The 26,493-nt window shown below is 35.9% G+C and overlaps 1 protein-coding gene and 1 long non-coding RNA gene across 6 annotated transcripts in view; one reads left to right on the forward strand and one right to left on the reverse strand.

The window, feature by feature from the left end:
• The window catches only part of CAVIN2-AS1 (CAVIN2 and TMEFF2 antisense RNA 1), a 217,342-nt gene that overhangs the window by 119,360 nt on the left and 71,489 nt on the right, over positions 1 to 26,493 (forward strand). The window lies entirely within an intron of this gene.
• Positions 1 to 26,493, reverse strand: part of TMEFF2 (transmembrane protein with EGF like and two follistatin like domains 2) — a 245,888-nt gene that overhangs the window by 16,802 nt on the left and 202,593 nt on the right. Inside the window, exon 8 of one of the 5 annotated variants that reach the window (XM_017003740.3) lies at positions 6,565 to 23,703. The exons of the other annotated variants lie outside the window; for them this stretch is intronic. Within the exon in view, the coding sequence (XP_016859229.1) occupies positions 23,648 to 23,703 (56 nt within the window). The 3' untranslated portion in view covers positions 6,565 to 23,647. Of the gene's footprint in view, positions 1 to 6,564; positions 23,704 to 26,493 lie in introns of those variants that run through there. 5 annotated transcript variants of the gene reach the window in all.

Below are 26,493 nucleotides of genomic sequence, written 5' to 3' on the forward strand. Positions count from 1 at the left end.
TCTGGGCTCACTGCCCCTCTGACCTAAAACCACTCTCCTATTCTGGCACCATCCACACCAAATCTTCATTATTGTTTACTTGTCTGTGTGACACGTTAGTTCAGAAACTCCCTTTTAAAGGCTGGTAATATATTTGATTTAAGAAAAAAAAAAAAAACTTGCGTAGTCTCTGTACGTAGCACAGAACATAGCACAAGATGATGAATACATAGTTTTTAAAATAAAGGAATGTTTCCCTAGGTTTCTCTACTGATATTGGGAAGTTTCCAGAAAATATACAAAAGTAAAAGCAGTAGAAAAGGAATCTTAACTTTGCTTCATGGGAACAACTTTTTGTAGGTGAGGGTGGCATGTCAAAGGGGACTGTAAGTACTGCCTTATGAAAGAATATCTGCCAGAGGGGAGTGGCTGCAGATCCTGGAGAAGTGGAGCCAGAGAAGGGGATGTGGTTTCTTCTTTCCACAGCTTCTGGTGAGGCTAATGGAGAAATGAACAGATCATCGAGTTTTAAAAATAATATCACTTCTGTTAGCCAGGGATGTGTGTGATCCTGAAAGGAAGAATTTATTACCCCTTTCATTTAAAGATTGAAGTATGGGAACTTTAGTTCTAGGTGGAAAAATTTGTCATTTGTATGCATGTCATACCTCAAAAATCACAGTGGAACTATGTATGGTCAATTCTGAATTAACAGATTCTAATTTGGCCATTCACACTGTGTGTATAGCATTGTCCAGAAGTGAGAATATTGAAAATTTTCAGGGCAGAAGGAAACTTTTATTTAAAAAAGCAAAACAAAACAAAAAACAGGCAAATGAATTTCAAAATAGAAACTAGTATTTTAAATTAATAAAACATTTTCCTTACTTGTCAGCTTCAGAATAAAACCATGCATTTATTCTCATACTTAAAAGTATTTTATGGTAATAGATGCTAAACACCACAATTAGCAGCACAGATATACTTGATGATACTGTGATAAATAAAACTAGTGATCAGTTTGGTTTTCTACAAGAGCATCCTAAAAAGAACTGGAGGGGTTTTTATAATTTATTAAACTAAGGAACAGAGGTATAGCTTTTACTCTTCAATAGGCTTTCTTGAGCACAGTCTCAAAAGTGCTTGAGAAAAGACACTAGAAGAAATGTAAAATTCTCGATGAAAACTGGTTTAAAACTGAACTTCTGAGAAAAAAAAAAAGGAAACTGAAAAGTTCCATAAAATTGGTAGTAAAAGTGCTTCTAATAGCTAGAAATGTTTTGTATTATTTAAATGGAATATTTAAGTTTAATGTTTAATTCTAAACACTAATGAACTACCCAGTTTAGAAATTGTAGATAGCCACAGTTGGGGATATTATGCAATGCTAGATACCTGAGCAGAATTTATAGGTATTATAGGTACAGCACCTTAGTACTGTATTTGGACATCACAGGATCTTAGAGGATGCTGTTGATGCTCTGACACCCCTCACAGAAGTATGTATATAGATATATATATATCTGTGAGTTTTGTATAAACACAATTCTACTATGATCTCTTACAAATAGCTAATTTTAAGGATAAAATAGAATTATAGTACACTAAAATTCCCATTTTAAGGGCAATGCTTCTTGTTCTAGTGCAGATTGACCTCCTTCCCTTGTGAAAAATAGATTTCCAGGCTTTGGTCTTGATCAGCTCAATCAGAATTACCAGCTGAGGGGCCTGGATCTGTCTTTTAAAAGGTGCTTTAGGTGATTCTGACGTGCAAATAGTGTGCAGCCTGGTGTTCCTGACCTCACGTCACCATTTTTTCTTACCTCTCGCAGGCTTTGGCTATCTGATGCTAGGCTTTCCTGCACCCTGGATCCCCCTTCCTTCCCCTGATAACTGTCCTACAGTGGCCCACCTTTCTGGTCCCAGGTCTATCTTAGCTCCTCTCTGTAAAGTGCCAGTCTCCGCTGTGGTCTATGAGTGTGTGAGCCATGGTTTGCCCTCTGCTGCTCTTCCCGCATCCACTCTTGGATGTTACGGGAAGTCCTCAGGGGACCTCAGCTTGCCAAGCCTTCCTTACCCTTCGTAGTCAGCCTGGAAAACTCACTCTGTTTTAGAATGTCTTTGTCTCTTTTGAGAACACTCCACTCCATGTATGGCCTGTGTGCCTGTAACAAGTGCCAACATCTGTGAGAGATTTCTAGATTTTGTCAATTCTCAGATATTTGGAGACCAATTTTTTCAAATCTCCAGGCTTCTTTAATGACTCTGTTGTATAACTAACAGAATTGACAACAAGAACACCCTGTGTGAAAGCAAATGAAGCATCCTTGCAAATACAGGAACAGATAACACAGCTGAGAAAAGGTGCAGATTATACCAATGTTTATGATTGCTTCAATTTACAGATGAGAGTAAAGGAGCATTGGGCCACTGGTGATATCTATATCAGCTCAGCTAGTCCGTGGGAAAGATGAAGTCACAAGAAAGGTAACAGCGGCAGGAAAGAAGACAAATAGAGGAAAACAATTGGAGGCAAAATTACTATTTGTGTCACTGTGGCAACTGAGATAAATGATATTAAAACAAAGAGTGGGTATTGACAGCAGAATAGAAGAGGCAGAAGTTGAGAAATATCTCTTTGGTTTCATGGGGCAGGACAAATGGCCACCTGTGCTTCTAAATTGCAGGCCTTACGGACATAGAACATGCTCTTTAGACCAGAGTTTCCTGAGGGGAGCTCTGTTGATGCCTGACTACTTCTGTAGCAGAATTCACGGGAAAAAGGGGTTCTGTAGTCAAATAAATTTGGGATAGAGTGGATTAAACCAAATTATATTGGTTTCTTTACTGCTGCTTTCCTCAGAGCCCTTAAAAGGCTAACTTACACTGTGAGATGCCAGGAGGGGACAAGCATTATGTAGTGCTTCTAGACTCATTTCTCAATGGAACCTCCCTGCTCTTTGGAGGAACATTTTGTGGGACTATTCCATCAGACTTCATTCTGGGAAACACTGCATTAGATTATGGCATCTCCAAATTTTTAACATCACCATACATACAGAAAAAAATAAATTGAGTTTTTGGTAAAAAGAGGACATTATAAGCCTTGGGGCTCTAGCCACCCAAGCCACCCAGAAGGCTAAGGTGGATCACTGCACTAACACACCTGTTACCTATTCAGGGCACATAAGAAAGTTTTGCACTAGATTATACCCTCTCTTTGGGCAGAGACTGTGTATTGTTTCCAGGTTTATATATATATATATATGTTTGTGTATATATGTATGTATGTTTGTGTATGTGTGTGTGTATCTATGTGTGTGTGTGTATATATATATATAGAGAGAGAGAGCTAACGTTTAGGACAGAGACTGACACAAAGTGTTCAATATATAGAATGAATAAATAAATGAATATTATAGGCATAGGAGATATGTTTGGCAGCTACTTCTACCTCAGTGTGGTGGCTTTGAAAAAATTAATGCCCCTGGTTGTTTGCATCAGAGCCAGCTCATCACCACTTCAGTGAAATGTCCATAAAGGTACAATCAATCCCTACCTTAGGTGACAAGGTAAGGTGCAATATGGCAGAGAAGTCTACTCAATAGAAAGTATACATTCCAGTACAAAAAGACTAGGTGCATAGGTAAGAGCCATATTTCCTATGTATTTCAGTCTCCTTCAGCAAAAGGTAAAAATATGCAGAGCAAAAATGTGTTGCTAATCATGAAAGACAAGAAGGATATCCATGAATGGTGTGAAAGGTCAAGCATAAGCAAATGTTGATGGGTTTGTGTATGTCTCCTGAATGATGTCATGGCCCAGAAATGGCAATGAGAGAATTTATTGTGTAGATCTGAATTAATTTATAAATCTGGAGTACTGCCATTTGACAGTACCTGACCAAATTAGTGTAAGCAATTCTCATTGAAAGAGCCAGAAGGCATACCATCTCTTCTCATAGTCAGGAATAAGATAAAATTATTTAAAGAAACAAATGTAGCTGATTGTGCTATGAGTATTTCTGAAGGTGGGTTTGACATGTTAAATGAGCATTCTAAATAAAACTGGCAATAAAAAAGTCATGGAATCACTCTAAGAAAATCACAGAATTTTATAGGTTTTGCTAAAAAATAACTTCCAAAGCCAGTATAAGCCCTGAAGAATTTAACAACTTTTGGTATTTCTCAATCATCTATTGGTACATGTCAGTGAATCAAATATCTTTGTGTTTAAGCACAGTAAGACTGTCATTGAATGTGATAATGCTGCCTAAAATAAAACTTTTAAGATGTGAAGATCCATGGTAGATTTCCGTGTTGTCCCTCTATTTAACCTGTTAAAGAGACACAGTAATACCAATGAGCAAGTTTTTTTCATGCCCAGCATTACTTTTTTTTTCTATCAGCAAAATATTATATCTAGTGATTGGTAAAATAATGGAACCAATAGTTTATTGGTTACTGTCTTTGGTAGATCCATGTTTACCCCAAATTCACATTCACCTGGAACCTCAGAATGTAATCTTATTTGGAAATAAGTAATTACTTAAAATGAGGTCATACTGGATGAGGGTGGGTCCCAAATCCATGACTGGTGTCCTCAAGAGGAAGGGCAAGGGAAGACGCACAAGCAGAAGGTCATATGAAAATGGCAGCAGACATTGGAGATGTGCCACTAAAACCAAAACATGCAGGAGCCACCAAAAGCTGGAACAGCCCAGGAAAAATTCTCCTTTTGAAACTTGAGAGAAAGTGTGGCCTTTCTAATGCCTGAATTTCAGTCTTTTAGCCTCTAGAAATGTGAGATAATAAATTTCTGTAGTTTTAAGTCTCCTCATTCATGGTAATTTTGTTATGGCAGCCCTAGAAAAAGTAGGGTTTGTACATGGTTGGTAACCATTTACCAATCAAACTCATATTGATAGAGTGTATCTTTTAATAGTCCAAATGGAGTCAATGAAAGTGAGCTGAAAGATTGGTTTCGGCTAGGATGTGACCTGGAAAGTCTTCCTTTATTTATGTCTATTTTCCCAGCATAAATTATTAATCGTGTACTGTTTTACTCTCAAAAGTTTCCTACTTTGAATGATGAATTGTATGATCACCTTAGCTTAAGCTTAAGTTGAAGTACCCGTGATTCATTGCATTTGCATCCCCAAAATTATGTTTTTAAGAGCTGATGTGTAGCTAAGATTCATTTTTTTTTCTTCCCAGTTTTGAACAACTGACTTGCTTCTGGCACTTCCTTAATTTCTAGTCAGTGATAACTGGAGTGCAAAAAACTACTTTAGAAACAGTTAAGGATCCAATGTGAGTCTAAACAGTTTACTTCTACATGGACATCATTTAGGGCTGGAGATTAGTTATTAACTAAATGGTACCTTGTGATCTTATAGTGTTAGTTTACCTTTTAACAGGTTTAACACCCTCCAGGTATATAATTACACTCCTTTCTAAGTACATGGTTAACCACTCAAGAAATCAATAGGGGTTATAAAACATGTACAAATTTGAATTTGGAGAGAGTCAAACTTCTATCTTGTTCCTAGAAGTAAAATGGCTAACATTTAGAATTGGGCTTATAGGGAGCCATTTATTTTGAAATAGAAAAAGCACAAAATAGGTATGTTCAGAGTTGGGAGCGAAATATGACATTGATAAATCAAACAGAGCCCCTCACTTTTGCTTTGATTGATGTTGTCAATAGCAACCCACAACTTTTGTTTCTTGATGTGTGACTATATAGCCCCCTGGATCCAGAGAAGGTAACAAACATGTTTTCTCTCATGAGGTTTCTAAATTTACTAGAGCTTGATCCTACTCACACCTAATTAATTCATCAATAATATTCATTCATTTAAAATATTGATGGTTTCCTTCTATGTGTTAAATACTACAGGTATAGTATGTACAGTGGTGAGTTAAATAGACAGTTTCTCTCTGGAAGAGCATGCATATTAGAGAGTGAGATAGGCAATAGATAAAAACAAAAATCAACATCTAAATTAGAAATGTCACAGGAAAAAATAGGGTGCTCAGATACAGAATAGTAGCGTGGGATACTAGAGAGGTGATAAAAGTCATATTGAGGAAAGGAAGGATGAGAAAGAGCTGGTCAGAGATAGCCCCGGAAGAGCTTCTGACTGAGTGAACACAGAGAGAAAGACAAATGCAGGAAAGAGGTGTTCCAGGAAACAGCCTTGTGGCTAGAATGGAGAATGTGCCAGCTATGGTGGAGAGAGGGATAAAATGAAGTTGGAGAGGTCAGTAAGATCCTTACTATACACCAAGCTAAGAAGTATTGCGTTAGTGTTTTTTTGTTTTTTTTTTTTTTTAGACCGAGTCTCACTCTGTTGCCCAGGCTGGAGTGCAGTGGTGCAATCTTGGCTCACTGCAACCTCCGCCTCCCGGATTCAAGTGATTCTCCTGCCTCAGCCTCCCGAATAGCTGGGATTACAGGCACCCACCATCATGCCCAGCTTTTTTTTTTTTTTTTTTTTTTTTTTTGTATTTTTGTAGAGATGGAGTTTCACCATGTTGTCCATGCTGGTCTTGAACTCCTGACCTCAGGTGATCTGCCCACCTCGGCCTCCCAAAGGGTTGGGATTACAGGCATGAACCACTGTGCCTGACCTAGTTTAAAGATCAATGGGAAAGCATTTGGGTAGTTTCCAGCACATCTGTCTGTTACTAAAAATTGATCATTAAGGGGACACAGAGGAAGCAGGGAGAGCAAACAGGAGACCAGTACAGTGGTGTGGGAGAAAGACAATGTCCCAGTCTTCAACTTGGGTAGTAGCAATGGAAGAAGGGAAAAAATTACTTTTATTTCCCTTGTACCTTACAGGTGGATTGAATATGACCTGTTTATGTATTGCAAAATGGTAGGAACTATTCCAAGATGATGCAGTTTTTGGCTAAAACATCTTGGTAGTGCTATTTTGTACAATGGGAAAAATTAGAAGAAACATTTAAGCTCCAATGTATAAACATGACAGATATCCCTTATTAGGATTTTTGAGATTACATTGAAAATTCTATGTTTATATTTGGGTATGTCTACAGTAGAATTGATGTTAACTGGAAAGAATCCGTAGTTCAGTGGAAAATTATTAAGGGGTGAACTAGCTACTAAATAATAGTAAGATAATGTATGATTAAGAAATGAAAACTTACAGCTACGTGATATCTAAAGTAGGAGGAAGGACATTTGTAATTGTCTACGAAGAATTTGGGGATGTAAATTTAAAGGCAAGATAAGTAAATCATGAAGTGAAAGGAAAAAATTAGACTATGCAGAAACATCAGTGAGAAATGCTTTTAAGCAAAACTTTGCTTTCTTTTTGAAAAATTTATCACAAGAAAATAAGAGTTCTTTTAAGATAAAAAGTTCATAGATTTGGTCTCTTCAATGTCCATTATATAACGTAGGTTTTCTACTTGCCAAAAGATTATTAAATAATATTATTATTTTATAATCATATAGTGACTTAAAATTTTGTTTTTGTAGCTCTTATTTTGTTTGAGACTGCAACACTCCTAACAGGTATGTAAGTTTAAGAACATGAATACATATTTATATATATGTGTGTGTATATACACATACACGCACATGCATATATACACATATGCATATATATACCTATACATGCATACATATATATTTATGTGTTTGTGTATAGATACGGTTTTTTCTTTGATAAAGTAGGAGCTTGAGGTCAGAAATATTCAGTGAATCTCTAATGTCATGAGAGGGCTAAAGGCAGAGAACTCCAGAAGCCATGTGTGTCTCCTAAAAATCTACTTTAAAATAGATTTAGGTTTAGAGAAAAGTTAACAAAGATAGTGACATGGTTTGGCAGTGTCCCCACTCAAATCTCATTTTGAACTGTAGTTCCCATAATCCCCACATGTCACAGGAGGGATCCGGTGGGAGGTAATTGAATCATGGGGGCAGTTACCTCTATGCTGTTCTCATGATAGTTAGTGAGTTTTCAAAAGATCTGATGGTTTTATAAGGTGTTTTTCCCCACCTTCACTCTGCACTTCTCCTTGCTGTCACCATGTGAAGAAGGATGTGTCTACTTTCCCTTCCACCATGATTGTAAGTTTCCTGAGGCCTCCCCAGCGCTCAGATCTGTGAGTCAATTAAACCCCTTTCCTTTATAAATTATCCAATCTTGGATATGTCTTATTAGCAGAATGAGAATGGACTAATACCCAGAAAGTACGGAGAATTATTACATACTCATGCCCAATTTTTCTGTGTGTTCTCATTTTTAATCTGGTGTTTTCTTCACAATTTTTCAGTGGTAAATAATTGTCTTAGAGTTTTACATGTAGAGTTAGAAGAAAAATGAAAGAGTCAGTCATCTGGATAATTCCAGATCAGAAAACAATTTTGTGTGAAAGCTATAGATAATTGAGACAGAATTTTTTTTGTGTGTGTGTGTGGCCTGGAGAGATTCCTATGATTGCCTTCTTCTTTCAGTTGAGTCTGTAGGTACAGTCATAACTATAGGTGTTTCGCATACTACTGTAATAGGATACTGTATATCATTCAATATGAAGAATGTGGTTTTTTTTTGGAGGACTAAATTGCTTGGTTCTATATATCTTTTTCTTAAAAATAAAGTATATTGGCTTTTTTGCTATAAAAGCAATTCACATTGATTTGAGAATAGTAGAAAATATAGATAGGAAAAGAACAAAAGTACTGAAAGTTCACAACCTAAAGAAGGCCAAAATCAAAATTTTATTTATTTACATCTGGTCTTTTTACTATGTATATATTTTGGATCTGTTTGCTTAGTTTATGCAAATGGCATTCTTTTTTATGTTTCTTTATTTTTTTTAATTGTAAGCTTAATTTCCAGCCATGTCTATAAAAGCTGCTCTAAAATATCAGGGAAGTTAATGTTCAGTGTGGGTCATTGTAAGTAGACCATTTAGTCTATCTGGAGAAGAATTGTAGTTTTTGGAAGTCCACTTATTATGTTAGTTGGCCAGTGGTTAATGGTGCAGAGAAAATTTAAGATACCATCAATTGGAAAGAATATGGTAGAGACTTTCAAAGAGGAATGTAGTAGCTCATATATCAAGAGCCTCAAGCACAAAGACTCAGGTTACAAAGAGATTAATTAATTATAACATCATCCAAAATGGTAAAAAATGGGAAATTACCTAAATTTTCCACAACAGTGTAATGGTTAAATAATGTTACAACAAAATGATAAAATGTTATTTAAATAGAAAAAAATCATGAAGAATTTTGATGACATAGAAAATGAGAAGGATGCTAATTAAAAAAATATATAGGAAATATAAAAAACTAGAAGGAAATTCACCAAAATTTGACAGTGATTATTTCTAGGTAGTAGAGATAACTCTAATAATTGAAAAATGAAGGTCATCAGGTGATTTTTTTCTTTTTCTTCTTTTTTTTTTTTTTTTGCCTAAAAAGGGATGGTCAAGTTTTTGAATTTAAGATTTTATTCTCACTTCGTCTGTTTAGATTTGTTATATCAGAGCCTTTCTTTACTTATTAACAATCTCTTGTAGTAAACATGTGTAATCTGATTTCCCTCAACTTTCTCCAAACTCAAATATCTACAAATCACCTTCATGTCTTCATACTATTTTGGAAAATAGTTTCTCCAGTTCTCAAATGTTACTGAGTGTATTTCCATGTCCCAGGAGCTTGGCAATTTTTTTCTATCATAATTGGCAATACCAGGAATGGGCTAATTGCCTTTGGAGGTCAGAACTTCTTTAGTAGTTTTATTTTTTTATTGGTCTTGGGTCACTAGAAGGAACTGTTACTGTGTCCTGGCTGTGGCTAGCAGTGACAAGACTGTCTTTTGAGGGCGCTGCCAGGCTTAATTGCATCCAATATAGGGATCTTCATCTGAGATTTGGAACAATGAATCTTCCATGCCAATTAAAGATGAGTTTAATATAGAGAATATGAAGTATGCCTAGCAGAGGAACAGTTTTACAGAGCCTCAGGATCCCATCTGCCTTTCTACAACACAGAATTGGACCCATACAAGCCCTTTATCATCTCTTCAAGCTAGGACATTCCAAAGAAACCAGGAGCAAAATATGAGCATGGAGAGCTTTAGGCATATTCATTTCTCTCTTATTCTCTAAATATTTCTCAGTGTTTTCTAAAGGATTCTGAACATAAGGTATGTTTGCTGTTTGTCTCACAACACATAATTGATATGTTATCTAAGTCAAATAGTTTGGTAATTGACAGTGAATTTTTGCAATACTGAAAATAATCTCACTTCTTATACAAATAAAGAGTAATTGTGTCAAATTGAGTTTAAAAGCCAGTGCCTCTGCCTATTAGTTATGGGGCCCAAATCAAGTCAAATACTCCTCTGTAGATATTTCCTTATCTGTGAAATGGGGATAATCATAGTATTTGCCTTACAGGTTTATTATGAGGAATACATGAGAGGATCCATATAAAACCCTCAGCAAAAGAGCTGGCAAATAATCAGCACTTAATAAATGTTTTAGTTGTTATTAGTCATTAGAATCACATCTTCACACTCTTATTTTCAAACGAATAAAAAGGAACCATTGAGAAGGAAGAAATGGACATAGACATACATTTTCTCTGTGCTTTTCAGGTCACTTTGGCTTTGTTTTTATGGGATATCCATCTGTGGAGAAATGCCCTGGCTTACAATTACAAGGGTCATTCCGCAGAAAGAAAAGTGCAGACTGTGGAACAGAGGGCTTAGTCATTTATTATTGTTAATGGTCTTTTGGCAATTTCCTTCATTCCTCAAGGCTTTTGTTTCCTTATCTAGAAAGAAAGAGTCTGAAAAGCAAACAGGCAAATACAATGCAATGTGATGACTGGGAAGAGATAGGAGGCCCATGTTGGACACAACAGGACTTAGGCCCAGACTCCGGGTGGAAGGTGGGGAGTGAAGACCTCCATTTAAAACGGGTGAAATAACAGATACCTATACACACTTATGAAGTAATAAGATCACAGGCTTGGGAGTTTGAATGTCTTGGTTCAAATCCTATTTTCGTTTGTTTTCCTTTTTTCCTATCTGTGACCACGGGCAACTTATTAACCTTTATGCCTGTCTGGCACACAGTAAGTACTCAATAAACTATAGCTATTTTAAACTAATGTGTGTCATGAGTAAAAGAGTTTTAAATGTGAAGTCTTTGTTTAGCCAAGTTCCTGGCACATAGTAAGTGCTCAATAAATGAAAGTGGCTGTTATATTATTTTCATTCTCAGAGGAAGGCTATCTGAAGCCGATACATGAAATATGAACATGAATTAGCCAAAGACAAAAGCAGAAGAGTATTCCATGCTGGACCAATAGACACAAAAAACTTAGACGGGAGAGAGAGCATGGCTTGTGGGGGAACTAGTTGTGCCTGGAGCAGGCTAGAGGGCATGGATTGAGGAGTGTGGTCCATGCCATAGGAGCTATTGTACAGTCCCGCTGCAAAGGCGGCACCCACTAACCATCACCTGCTATGCTCTCACCTATGGGCAGTCCCACTGCCAGGCTTGTTTTAGCCTCTGAGCGTGTGTCATTGCTGGCATTTTGTGGAAGACAGTCAATTGTATTCAGTAATGAATTTTTTTTAAAGGCTTGCATAGTTGAAGGAGCTCTAGACAGAAGCCAGGGAGAAGATTACAGGGTCAGTAAAGATACACTTCATTTTGACAATTTACAAAGGAAACAAAAGCCATGGTGTGTCTGTTGCTAATAAAATAATCTCTCCTTCCATGAAATCTTAGAAATGGATTTTTTGTCTTGACAAAATAAATATATATTAGGTTTAGGTCATTTCTCAAACTAAAGGCAATATTAAAATTGTAATTTGAATTACTTATTAATAACAACAAATCTTATGACTTGAAGTGTATCTCATCTCTTAGAAACAGAGTTGCTGACTCAATGTGATCTATTCTGATGGAAACAAGTTTGTTATAATAAGATAATATCCATATTCCTCTTTTCAAAAATAACTATGTTTTTATGTTTGATGGAATGATGAGATTCTGTAATACACTGGAAAAAATGCATGGTATTCATTCATTGTGGCAGTATATCATAATTACTCAGCTTTTATCATTAATAACAGAAGATTGTGAATAAAAACATACTAATATCCACCAGATGTTCAGAAAAACATAAATATCCCCACATGTCAGCACTTTTAGCAGAAACTCAACAAAATTTTCTCTACTTCTTTTTTCCTTTTTTAGTTTCCTGAACATGTTCTTTTGATACGATATTTTTAATCCTCATTAGGGATTTGTTTGGGTTCCTTTAATATCTGCCACAAGAGACTGTATAGTTTCGGATGTAGCCAGTATGCATCTTGCTACCTTTTCCCTGTTACTCAATTTATCGAGAGGCAGGCCGGTATAATGGAAAGCGATCGGCCAGCTTTGTGGTCAAAGGGATCTCAGTTTATACATACTCTCAGCTTCTTAAATAGGTGGGTGGCCTTGGAAAAATTGCTTAATCTTTCTGAGCCTAAATTTCTTTATCTTTGTAATGGTGATAATAATTCTTTCATTGAAAAGTCATTTCAAAGAGAAGCACTAATAAAATTGCCAAGCATTCAGCCCTATTAAAAAAAAAAAAGCAATTATATTGATCTATCTGAAGACCACCCTGATTTCTTGCTTTCCTTTGACTATTGAATTTTCCTTTTTCTTCCCCATTGATACCTTAAGCTTACTAAAATGTCTTTTTCTCTAAAATACAAGTATTGCCCTTCAGTTATCATTCTAGAAGCTTATTTTCTCAGCCTGAGCTCCCTTATAAATATGCTATATAAGGGCCAGGGCAGGCTTTGGTATGCTTTTTAGCACCTAAAATGAAATTGTGGTGCAGGCACCCCTGGTAGATTGCAGTCAGCTCTTCCTGGTAGGGAAACATAACTCCCACATGGACTGCATGAAATGGTCAGTAAAAATTACATAAAATAATTTATTAAGATTTTTTTCTTCTTATGGTGAATTCCGTAGCCTCAACTTGGAAAGCAGCAAATGGCCTATTGTAAAAATAATACCAGGGCACCTCGTCTCCAGGAATGGGCTGCCTATTCAAGTGAGGCCAATTAACTCCTCCAGGAGCTGGGAGAACCATACAATGTAGGAAAAATATAGTTTAATTGAATGGTACTCTGGTCTTCTGGAGGAAAAATTCATTTAATACAAGGAGTTATTTATCCCTATATGGTAGTTTACATATTAGGATTTACCGGAGAAATGTTCCCAAAGTGACCGTCTTGTATATGGGCAATGAAACAAATATGAAATAGGAAAGAGGTAAAAATTAAATCTTTTCTTCTTTTGGCTTAACCTTTAGGACCCCACCTGAAAAACAATTCTGGCATAGAGGCTAAGTGTAGGAGACCTCACGAAGCCTTTGGTTTTCATGTCACTGTTTAGAAAGGAAGCAAATACTTGATAGGAAGTTCTCAGTTTTTTGATCTGTGAATCCCTTTTCTTCCAGCTGATTCATTTCTATTGCCATTCAAACACTGTGGGATTTGATTTCATTTAGGTTTGGATTTTGGCCAGGTGGTCTTTGACCTGGAGTGCCACAACTGTATTAAGAGGTAGTAAAGATGTGCTTTTCTATATCTTGAGTCACTGCTATTCTATTAGTTTACTTTACTTTGATAGAGAAATTGGCTAACGCTATACAAAACTCTCCCCTTCCCTGGAATTCAGAGAGCAGCTTATTTATATGTAGATGTAGCTATATGACATTTTCAAATGCCATACATTTGCATATGAAGGTCTCTTTTTTCCCCTCTCAGTAAACAGGCTGTGCTATTACTTCCAAAGCAATGTTTGGAATTATATTTTCTATACAAGTTCTTCCTTAAAATGTTTTTTAAATGCCCAGTAGAGATAAAAAAAAAAAATTAAACCCTCTAACTAGGATCCATTTTGTCAGGAGTGAAAATTTTTAATTTATGATTAATATATATCTATATATATCTCTATCTATCTATCGATCTATCTATCTATCTATATGTTTTAGCACCTGTATGTGGCTTTGCATTATAAGTTGGTTAAATAATATTAGTATGGTTAGAATTTCTTGAGAAGAAAGCAAAGAGATATTAATTTGGTATGGAGCTTCCTTTAAAATTTTATGTAGTTTGGTTTCTAGAGAGGTAGCTCTCAGTCTTATTCGTTTACTCAACAAATAATTACTGAGAGTCTACTATTTGTCAGGCATTCTTTTAGGCACTGCATTTACAGGGAGGAGCAAGACAAATTCCCTGCCCTCATGGAGTTTCTATTATGAGAAAAGATGACATAAAATAAAAAGGTAAAAGCATAAATACATAAATAAATCTGCTCACATTAAACACAGTGAAGGAAATAATACACTATTGGCAGAGAGAATGCATGGAGTGACATGGACAGGAAAGAGAGTGGCCCAGCAGCCCTACCCTGGAAGGTGTGAAGGGCAGGCCAGGAGACGATGAGGAAGCACATCTTTGTGAGCACAGAAAACAACCAGGGCATATTGTGTTAGGCCCCAGTGTACAGAAAAATAAGTGTTGCAACAGGAACAACATTTTAAAATACAACTCTCACAGTGAAATCATTATTCATCTGGCATTAAAGAAAAACATGAAGCAAGAAGAAAGGAAGAAAACAAAGGAGAAAGAAGCTAATGAGTGTTTTCACAATTTCCATCTGCTTCCAGGGCTTCTTGTTATTTGCCCCATGGTTACCCAGGTATTTATTTGGTCATCTTTGCTTTTTCCTCCACTTGAATTCACTGCCACCCCCAGCGTCTGCCTCTACTTGAGGGTTACCACATAATCATTTCCATGCCCTCTTCTCTCCAGACCTCCAGTCATCTATGTTGATGAAGACATCAACATAGAAATGAACATATTCATTATTTGGCCCCGAGTCCTACTCTTCCTGATACTTTTTTCCCTATCTATCTTAGGGAATGGAACTGTCATTCATCTAGGCAGCCAGATGAACCAGGAACCTTCGTATTTTTCCTGACTTTCCACTTCTCTTTGCCTGGTCAGTTAGCAAATCTGGTAACCTTTTATCTCCTAAATCCAACTAAAATCTATGTATTTCTCTCTGTTGCTACCATCATCCACAACACTCATTCTTCATTGTTATGACCGTAGTCTTCTAATTAATCTTGCCTAATGCCCTCCCTCTCTAGCCTGTTCTTCACTCTGCTGCCAGGTTTTTTTTTTTTATTTAATAAAAAATACGACATGATTTAAAATACCTTAGTGACTCCCCTATTGAGCAGAAGATAAATTTTAACTTCTATTGCAAATGAGGAAAGAGACTTAATTGAAGCAACAAACTACTACTCTCACTTAGCTCCAGTTGCTCCACTTTTTCATTCCATGCTTTAGCCATGAAACTATTTGTCATTCCCTGGGCATTCCCACTCACTGAAGCCTCTTTGCCTTTTAAATGTTGTTCCCTATGTCTATAACATTTTTTCTCTTCTCTGCCAGGCACACTCAATGCAAACACTACCATTTTCTGAAACACTCTTGACTTCCCTTGTTGCCAGTTATAGTTACACACATCAGCTGGAATCCCTGTTCTATTGCATCAACATTTCTGAGCTATGCTTTCCTCATTATACCTGATCCCCAGGCAGGTTGTGAAGAGATGAGATAGCGTGTTGTATATATAATGCATGACACAAAGTAAATGCAAAATTAAATGTGTTTCTATTATTTCTACTTTAGCATTCTTAATGCTTTATTTTCTATTTGCCATAAAAGTTATTTGAATAATTATAATTTGGCATATGTGTATTTGTTTGAGTAACATGGGTTTCTGAATATAAAGTTAGAGAAGCTTGGGTGCAGTTTGCCCCTGAATTTCCTTATTTCCAAAAAGTCATAACAAATATTACCAGCATCGGTAATACATTTATCAATCCTCATAAGGAAATTACTAATTAAAATTCTGATCCCAACTAGCTAATTAAATCATAAGCTCCCTAAGCCCCTTCATCTTCCACATGAATAGATTTCGTAGGTCTTAGGTTGCTTTGTTATATCTGCCGCTTTGAAGTCCTGGATACCAGCAAGCCTAAGAACCAGGACACGTGACTTTATGAATGTCACAGTTAAACTCAAGTCACTTGATACTGTCTGAAAATCACTGGTACTTTTCTAGGCTTACAATTTATCATTTTGATGGTTTGGGCCAGCAACGTTGACTACAGCAACAACAATTCTGAAGAGACACTCTGAATTTGCTACCCATTTTCAGGATTCTACCATATCCATATTTATGCAAATTCTGGGAAAAGTCATTATTTACCAAGGACTGAGCACTTCAGTCCATGGCTTTATGTGTCATTATTGTACAAATTAATAGAAAGGTAGGCTATTATATGAAACAGACATTAGAGATTATCTATCTAAGATCTGTAATTTACAGATAAGAAAACAAAGACTCACGGAGGTTATGGTCAAATGTAATACCTAATACAGGTCTTCCTCCTGAGGATTAGTGTATAGCAACAACTAGAACCAAGGGTGCATTAAATCTCAGTTCTGAGATTTTCCCATCTACATGGAAATGCCTCACTTCTAAGATATTATAACCTGTTTCACAGGTGTTAGCACAAGACAATGAAAACAGGCAAAAAAAAAAAAAAAGTCAAAGAGCATGGAGAAAGTTACACTAGTTTCAAAATTACATTAGATGTAAAATACAAATGTTAAAAAGTGACTTGACACCAGTGAACAATTTGACTGACTAGCTAGTTTTAGAAGTTATGAGTTTTATACTAAGAATAATAGATGAGACATACCAAGATATTGCTTGAGTTTCTCATGCTACATCATATTTTTCTATCAAAATTTCCATTTCATTTTAAATTTTGAATGTAATATAATATTACTAGGCATTTGAGTATGTACAGTTTTATCAGAACAGCTCTTCTTTGACTCCTTAATTTTAAAAGTTTTGTTTATTTGTAAGGTGTGTTTTAACCTCTTAGAACAATTTCCCAAGATAGAAATATGGTGGATTTTATAATAAAAGTCATTAGAAACAATAATTCATTTACCAGAAATAAGATTGAGGTGGAGCTTGCAGTAGAAATGGGAGTCCGAAATGTCTGCATATTCTATGAAGCATGAGGGGACACCGAGTGTAGCAATTTATTGGTGGGAACTCTGGCCTCCAGTAGGATTCTACTGTCTCCTATTTGACAGTTTCAAAAACATCCTACACTCTAATGCTTTAAAAACACAATGCAAAAGAGGAATGACCAATAATAGACAATGGTAGATCAGGATAATATTACAAATTGGATGAACTGACAGGCAGGTGGTGAATAATTTTAACATGACCCTAAAAATAGTGGAAGGATGTTTGCACATTGACACTTCTCTAAAGGCAGATGGATATGCATGACCTGAGTTTTTAGACAGGTGTCAGGAATATTGATGGGTAGTACAAGGATGATCATTTTCTTGGCACTGTTGCAGTAGACAGTTTCCATGATTAATGATGCATCTTAGCCTTTTTTTTTTTTTCTCCTGGGGCAAAAAGGGATATGAACCTTTGTTACTCCAAGGAATGTAAGAATTTTGCCTGAAGGCTAAGGCAGGAGAACTTTAGTCACCTAAAAGCACCATATGCTTTCTACAGGTGAAGAAATAGTGGTAAAATATGCAAGTGCTCTTGATATATAAGATGACAGTGCCTGGTAGAATGATTATAACATGCCTCTTATTAAGAGGGGTCTACCCCAGGGCATAGGAGCCTTGCACAGCTCTGAAGTACAGAGCCCAGTAAACCTGGGCTCTGACAAAAGTGACAGCAAACTGTGGCTCTGGGATACATCTGAACACATACAATGTTTGAATGAATATTAAGAACCACTCAAAGGAAACAGAACAGGACTAAAGCAGGAAATAAGAGGTGAGATCATCTGCCTAATGTTTATATTCATTTCAAGTTTTTAGAGACAATTTTCTGATTCAAATCAATTCAATATCGTTTCTAAATGGTGAATCCAGTGAGAAAGAACTTTTCTTTTCCAAGAATAATATTGTTTGTTCAGCTTTTTAAAATGTCACATACAGCAATGAATGAACTATGCTATTTCAAGGCTCAAAATGTAATCCAAAGTCGAATAATAGTTTGTATGTATTCTGCTAAACCCTAGTAGTCCATCTGCTGAAAATATTATGTTAATTAAAGGTAATATAAGCTATGGAGGTAAACTTCGTAAGTTCTTTTTTTCTTTTATTTTTCTTTTTAAAGTAATAAAGGGCACTGTTGGAAATCAAGTCCAGTGAAAAAATTTTGTTAATTAAAAAAATGAATTTCCTTTTTATACAAGGGATATTAGCTATTGGATTAGGTGATCAAGAAAACTTAGAAAATCTGTTTTTCCAAAGTTAATCTAAGTTTCTCCAAATAAATTTAAAAACAGGATAAAGTCTCATATATATGATGGGAGGGGTTAGAATTTAATCTTCCTGAACCCCAGTAACTACATTGGTGACTTCCTTACTTTCTGTTTATCCAGAGAGAGAACAAGAGCTACAACGTAAAATCCTTCCTTTGATGATACTAGAAAAGTTTATGTTTCTATTCATTGAGAAAAAAATCTCAATGAAATCCCTGAAATGAGGGAATGAAATGTAGGAACGATGGGGTAACATGCTCTTAACATTTTAAACTCATAAATTTAATGGGCATTACTATTACATTCAAATTATATAATAGATTTCTTTTCTAAGGCTAAATAATATCATCTTAGACTAACATAGTATACTTTGTGCACACATTCTGAAACATTCTAAACATGTTGAGCCCAATAAACTCGTCCATTAGTTAGAAACCCATTAGGGGAGGGGAAAAAAACTCATTGTAATAATATGAACAGTTGCTCCAAAGAGCCCTTATCCTTTTGGGAAATGGAGTTTGAATGAGATTTAAGCCAATCAGTGGGGAACAGAACTACGTGGAGCATAAATTTGAAGCTTTATATATATATTAACATATATCAAAAAAGAGTCCATCATCCTTATCATCTAATTTTTAAAAATATTACCCAGTTAATATACTGATACACAAAAATGGGAAAATAAAAATGTAGAATTTAAAAATCTTCAGTCTGAATTTTGTTAAGATTAGATCAAATTATGCTATCCAAATGAAACAATTACTTCTATCTAGAAAATATGAATTTGATGACAATATGAAAAACACTTAGAATGAGGCATATCCATATCCTAAATCTTTGTCAATAATAATCTCTTACAATTCCATAGTGAGTTATATCTCACAAAGGGCTTTAATATCTGAAACATAGGAAAAAGGAAAAAAAAGAGATGTAGATACAATATTTTACAGATTCTCAGAGAAGTTATATAACATTTATAAATTTAGGAGCTAGGTATAGAATTTAGTTTTTTTGATAATTTGTCCCAAGTATTTTTCACAAAACCAAAACATTTCAGTAGGAACTAACAAATCACATATGGAATAACATTCACAAAATAGGTTATAAATAATTGTATATTATTTCACCAGTCTGTATCAGAGGGATTTACCTCAGTTTTTCTTTTAATGACTTTTAGCATAAAACTAGTGAAGATAAAAAACAAAACAACTGTTCCATCTTTCAGAGATAGTCTGTTTTCACAAGACATTGTAAGTTTTCTGAAACATTAACACAAATTTATCAGACAACTTATTAACCAACTCCTCCTTCTTAGATATTTTTCCCAGTAAAAGAGCAATGGTGCACATACTGTATGAATAGGTAGTAGTGTAATCTAAGACAGAAAATAACATTGCTGTGAAAGTTATTCATTTGTTTCAATACTACAGTAATTATTGTGGCAAAGTCTTGCTCGTTTATCATTTCCTGTTGTCTTTGCTATTTTTTCAAGCTGTCTTTTTAAACAAATATCCTCACTGTCCTTGTTGCAAGACCAATAACTTTATTTCAGTAGGTAAGACAGCACACCAATACAATCAGGTCTATTCCTGTTCCAAGGAGGGTCTGTTACTTGGAGCCACCTAACAGTATTGCACATTCCTGTCCTTCCCAGAAGAATGTGACACAGTGTATCTGGGTACTAAGTTGCCATTTAAGAACCTCTTCAGGTTCCCCGTCTCCTTGAGCTATGAAAGTTTTCATGAACACTTCAGTTTTAATGGCATGCCAAACATTTTGTTCCATGAGCAACACAACAGTTTTAAAAATTGCCATTGAGTGTTTTAATAGAATTTAGCCAGTTGTTTTTAAATATATTTCTATGAGCCAAGGCTTACAAAAATGTATAAAGAGGAAGTGCCCAGATATAAAGAAGCTTTGAAATGGTTGCTGTTGCCTCCTTAAAAATCATCATTAAACAATCTTTCAAACAGTCAGTGTTTGGCTCAGTAATTTAATCAAAATTTGTAAGAAGTAGCTAGAATGAACAAAAGGATGACATGGCTTTGAACAGAAGAAAAGCAGGGACCCAAGTTATGCAAATACTAGTTAGGAATACTGAATAAGATAAGCGATCCAATTATGTCTGTGAGACTTTCCTCAATAACCTATAACTAAAAGAAAAACAACTTCTTTAGCCAGATGAATTTTCATCATTCTAATGAGCCTTTGTAGAGACAGATATTGCCTCTTATTTGTGAAACCTCACATTTCTATTTTGGGACAACTATCTTTTTTTTTTTTTTTAAGTGGGGCCGAGTGTGGTAGCTCACGCCTGTAATCCCAGCACTTTGGGAGGCCAACGTGGGCAGATCACAAGGTCAGGAGTTTGAGACCAGCCTGACCAACATGGTAAAACCATGTATCTACTAAAAATACAAAAATTAGCCAGGCATGGTGGCGCATGCCTGTAATCCCAGCTACTCAGGAGGCTGAGGCAGGAGAATCACTAGAACCAGGGAAGCAGAGGTTGCCGTGAGCTGACATGGTGTCACTGCACTCCAGGCTGGGCGACAGAGTGAGACTCCGTCTCAGAAAAAAAAAAAAAAAAAAAAGTGTGTTTGAAGCAGCAAGATGAAATGACTGAGCTGGTGATCTTCATTCTGGGATTTTGTCTCCTTTTGGGGAACGGGAGAATTCAAGAATGATTAGGCAGGCCAACTCTGGACTCCACAATACCTCCTAACTTCTAGACCTCATCTAATATGTACTTTCCCCTAATCCCTAGCACCAAAAAGCAGGATTTTAAACACAACACGATTGACATTCTGGCTGGATAATGTTGTCCTGTGCATTGTAGGATGTATAGCCGTATATCTGGCCTCCACCCACTAGATGCCAGCAGTACTTACCCCTGCCCCTTCCCCAGACAATCAAAAATGTCTCCAGATAATGCCAATGTCCCCTGAATGGGAGGTGGGAGGGAAATGAGGAGGAGGAAGGTTGGTAGAGGCAAAATTGAGAACTGCTGCCATAAGGTGATGGTCAACAATTTTCCCTCAATCATGATTTCTGAACTAAAGCTATATACTTTGTTATAGACATCGAAAGTTGGAAAGACAACATCATAATCTTACTTTCTTTTTACTTTTTTTTTTTTGAGACAGAGTCTCACTCTGTTATCCAGGCTGGAGTGCAGTGGCATGATCTTGGCTCACTGCAACCTTGGACTCTGGGGCTCAAGCTATCCTATCACTTTAGCCTCCTGAATAGCTGGGACTACAGGCGCATGCCACCACACCCAGCTAATTTTCGTGCTTTTTGTAGAGACAGGATTTCACCATGTTGCCCAGGCTGGTTAATCTTACTTTCAAATGTTACTGATGAGAAAACAGGTTCTGAGAAGCTAAGTAACTAAATTTAGATGAATTAGAACAGAGATGAGACTAAGTCAAAAGTTCTGCATCCTACTCCAAGCTCTTCTGCAAAATGCTATTTGTAAGTCATTGGCTCTAAAATCCAAGTGAAATTAAAAATATGATTATCCATGTCATTGGAGAATAGCCTTGTAGAGAATCCAAAACAACAGATAACACACATATAATTTCTAGGTGATTTTGGAATGAACTAAAATGAGCCTATTCCAGTGGTATTATTTTCCTGATGATTATAATCATGATGATAATCATGAGTATAATGAAGATGATAATGGTTTTCTTAGGATAACATTACAATTAGCTATGTTTCCTGAGTACGTATCAATTCATGGCTAAGATGAACAGCTCGGAAGTATGTTAAGCTGCAGAAAACAACCAGCTTCAATATTAGAATATAGCACTGACAATCTACTTAGACACATAAGCATTAATAGTTGCCTATCACTGTTGATGGAATGTTAGGCTTACTCTTAATTTTTCTACATATAGAAGACAATGTGGACACTTTATTAAAACCATCTTACAGATAAGTTTCCCTGGTCTGCCTGTTGGTTGTTTCTCATGCTTCTATAGCTATATTTCATTAAAAATCAAAAATCAATAACAAAGGCCTATGTGCCAGCTGTAGGGAATGAGTGAGTGGCTAGGGGTGTGAGGATAGCTCAGAGATTATTTCAAACAACAGGAAACCTTCAACTTCCCTGGTGCTCTTTAAATAATAGAAAAGTAAATAGGAAAAAATCCAGTGGTGCAAGATTTGTAGAATAATTTTGACATTACACGAACAGCCAATCTGCAGAAGTGAATTTGGATGTGTACTGCCTGACAAAGCACTGATCGCTTGTTCGTTTAAAGTCTATAGACTAATAACATGGTCTTTCTGGAATACTGACTTTCTAGAGGACAAATGGAGCTTGATTTTAGTCTCCATTTTATGAATACTTAAAAACTATTTTTTTTTTTAGCTAAACAGACATTTATTTTCATTAGTAAATGAAATTTTTAAAGACATACTTTTGGGAGGGAGTTTTCTAATCTATGACACACACAGCTTTCAACCTCAGAAGATGTGAAAGAAAGATTAAGGCAGAGGTTTTTTTTTTTTGTTTTTTTGAAAATCATGTGAAATATATTTTACAGGAACATTACGTAACGCTATCAAACATTGATAATGCATCAATAACTCTGCAGAAATGCAGGATAATTAGTACATTCACTCTGTGTTTTATTAAGTTAAACATTAACAACGTCACCATAAAAAGCATTTGCTAGCATAAATGCTGATCTACCATAGGAAAAAATATTCACTTTTCTTTGTTATTGGCCAAACCACTTTAAACTATATGTTAAAAAATGCCTTTCAAAGTTAACTTTGTGAAAAAACATTTGCAGGTTTCCCATTGCAGAAGGACATAGCAATCCAATAAGGACTGAGATATATACTAAAATGGTCATTTCTTGGGGGCTACTGAGCTACAGATCCCAGAGGAGCTCAGGCTTAAAGTCATGAAATGGCTTCCGTGAAACCAGGCCTCAATTTTATCCTGATTAAATTTACTATATCTGAGAACACAGGTGGACTGAGTGGGAGGCCACCCAGAAATGGAAACTCAGACCAAGGATGGTCAGGTCAAGAATGTTAGAGCAAGTTATGACAGTTGGGGAGGAGGTCCTAGCCAAGGACACTTATTTATCCTAATTTGAGGGCAGTGGAATCCCTATTGTGTTGACATTTGCATCAGGCTGTTTTAGCTCGATGCCTTGATGCCCTAAACATCTAAAGAATATATGCTCTAGTTAGGCTTACCAAGTAACCTCAGTATAACTGGGCTTCTCAGGCAATTCAACTCTAGGAAGAGAAAACACTGGTCAGAGGATGTAAATTGTCTGTGAACATTAACATTTCTGAGTGAAAATTTAGATATCTGAGTCCACAAGTCTGAGAGCCATACCTGCCCTGATCATGAATTTAGTCACTATCCAAAGTATAATTCTGGCATATCCTGTCCAGTTATCCATCTTGCACCAAATCATCAGACCCACAATGTGCTGCCCTTGTTGGTTCTTGGCCCTTGATTAAGCCCATTTCTCTGCCCCCCAACTTCCAAAAACTTCCCAAAGCTCACCCAAAACTATGCTCCAGAACTGGCAAATTCCCTTCTAGCCTCAGATGCTTCAATGAAATTCTCACCTTTCTTCTTGCATACTGAAACACTAGATTTTTCTGAGAATACCAAACCCCTTCCACCCTCTCACAAAGTGGCTGTATATTCTACCCTCCTCCCCTGCACTTCAGGACTCAGAGGTGGAGTACTGTCCTCCTTAATCCTCATTACTATTCCTAGATTACTAGGCCACCACTTCCCTCAAGCCTTAGCACTGATTACTACATTCTTGTTATGCCTGGAGTTTGGTCCACAAGTTTGGTTCCTTTTGATTACATCCAAGTTCAAAAGTAAAAGTGTGTTTTCTGAATGAACAACTGGAGGAAACAAACTACAACCATGAAACAAATAGCTGTTTAGAAATGTAATTTCTTTGAGACATTTTGTTGTATAGATATTTTAAGACTTTTTTAGTTGATAATGTTTATATATAGTTTCAAATCATTAAGATGTGAGAACTGCATTTTTAAAGCTCTTGATAATGTTGGCTTATATATTTGGGGCATGTCAGACTCTTTAACAAAAGCAGCAAATCAAAGTGCTCAGAATAGTGTGTGTGTGTGTGTGTGTTGTTTTTGTTCGAAATGGCTTAAATTCTATTTACTAGGTTTATGGAAAACATTGTGCCTTGAAATTATACAGAGCATTGGGATATATCCTACTCTTCTTTAAGCTTCATACATTCTACCTGCACTTACATTACTCTTCCTAGGAATTGAAATAACATATACTTGAGGTAAAAAGATAAATTAAGGTGGAGAATTATGGCATTCCACTAGCAATTGTCTAGATGTTTGAACTCACATAGCTTTTTTCTCTTCGTCTTCCATGCTAAATAGACCTGTCTTTTCTTTACTATGAGTTCATTAAAAACATTTGTTTTGATCTCTTTGCGGGGTGTGTGTGTGTGTGTGTGTGTGTGTGAATTATTGACATGTGAACATTAACATTTCTGAGTGAAAAATAATGTTTTATGTAAACAGAAATACATTTCCATATACTACATTCCTTTTTTTAAATAATGAATATTTAGGTCCTCTAAACATATGGACTAGAGTATAAGTGATTGACTTTGAAGGTTACATTGAGGAAAGCATATGATATCATCATTCTGCAGTTGTGTCATAAGCTATGTCTTCCTACTGAATTTCTATTTGAATTTCATGTTGTAATAATCTCATGATCATATTATATTTTATGTGATCTAAATATACCATACATAAATTATGTTGACTAGAGGAAAACCAGAAAATTTGCTTTGTGAATATTTAGACGTGTTAATGTGCTGAAAACTTATAAATAAGTATTCAATAAATATTTCTTTATAGATGAATTAAAAAGTCAGCCAAGGTCTCTTGCAACAAGCTGTTAGATGACTTGGGTAGGAAAAATAATCCAGAAACTTCTTGTAATTGTACGAGTCCATAAAGGATAATATATGTATAACAACTCTGAACACATATCATACAGATAGACTATATTCCATAAAATGTGCTCTATTTCCCATAAAAATCAATTCTCTTCAATTTTCAGACCAAAAGGAAAGTAACAATAGCTAGCTTGCTAATTTGCTTGTTAATGCCTTACATGATGTCTTTTAATTTAAACTTCAATCCTTTGGAAGTAGACTTATTATCTCCATTAAACAGATCAAGAAACTGAGGCTTCAACTAATCAAGAAACCGAGCCTTCAACTAATTTAACAAGGTTAAATTACCACGATAGCATGGCCAATGTTTAAACTCAGTTCCCTCTAATCTTGTGGTTACAACCGCTAAACCAGCTGCTGCACACTTATGGCAGAGAAGAGTAGATAAGTAACACTGCAAGGTGAACGATTTGTATCAGAAAGGAGCATTTCAAATAGGAAAAAGTGCACATAAATGATGCAGGATGCGTTTATGAACTGGTGCATAAATACAAAGTTTTCCAGAGTGTCTACCAGGGCCCAAGGCAACTCTTCAGTGGAAAATCTTCATCTGTATTGGAAATACCATTTCTATGTTTATCTATAACCATGAACATAACATAATATTACAGATGACTGGCTACATGATTTTATGGGGAAAACAATGAAAGCACAGAAGTTCAAGAGAGCAGGAAAAATTGTGAGTTAGAGTTCATAGAAAGCTTTATGAATTTTGCAGCACTCTAATGTAAATCCCAGAGGGGAAAATACTTGCAATGAGACACTTTCCCTCAGAAATCTTGAAAAAATCTTGACATCTTAATTCATTTCCTAGGCTTAAATATTCTAGGCTAGTCTGGTGGCACTGTAATAGCCTGGGCAAACATTTTTATTTATTTCACTGTTGATACCAATATTTGTGCTACAAGCTGCTGCCTGCATTTGCTGCTATTTATTTATTTCCTACAGATCAAATTATTGGCCCAGACAAAACGTGGTTTCTGGTGAAGTGCTCCTTGTGTTCACGAGCAAATGGAAAAAGCTTCCATTTTAAATGTAGGTTTTT

Source organism: Homo sapiens, chromosome 2, assembly GCF_000001405.40.
Source record: "Homo sapiens chromosome 2, GRCh38.p14 Primary Assembly".
NCBI lineage: Eukaryota > Metazoa > Chordata > Mammalia > Primates > Hominidae > Homo > Homo sapiens.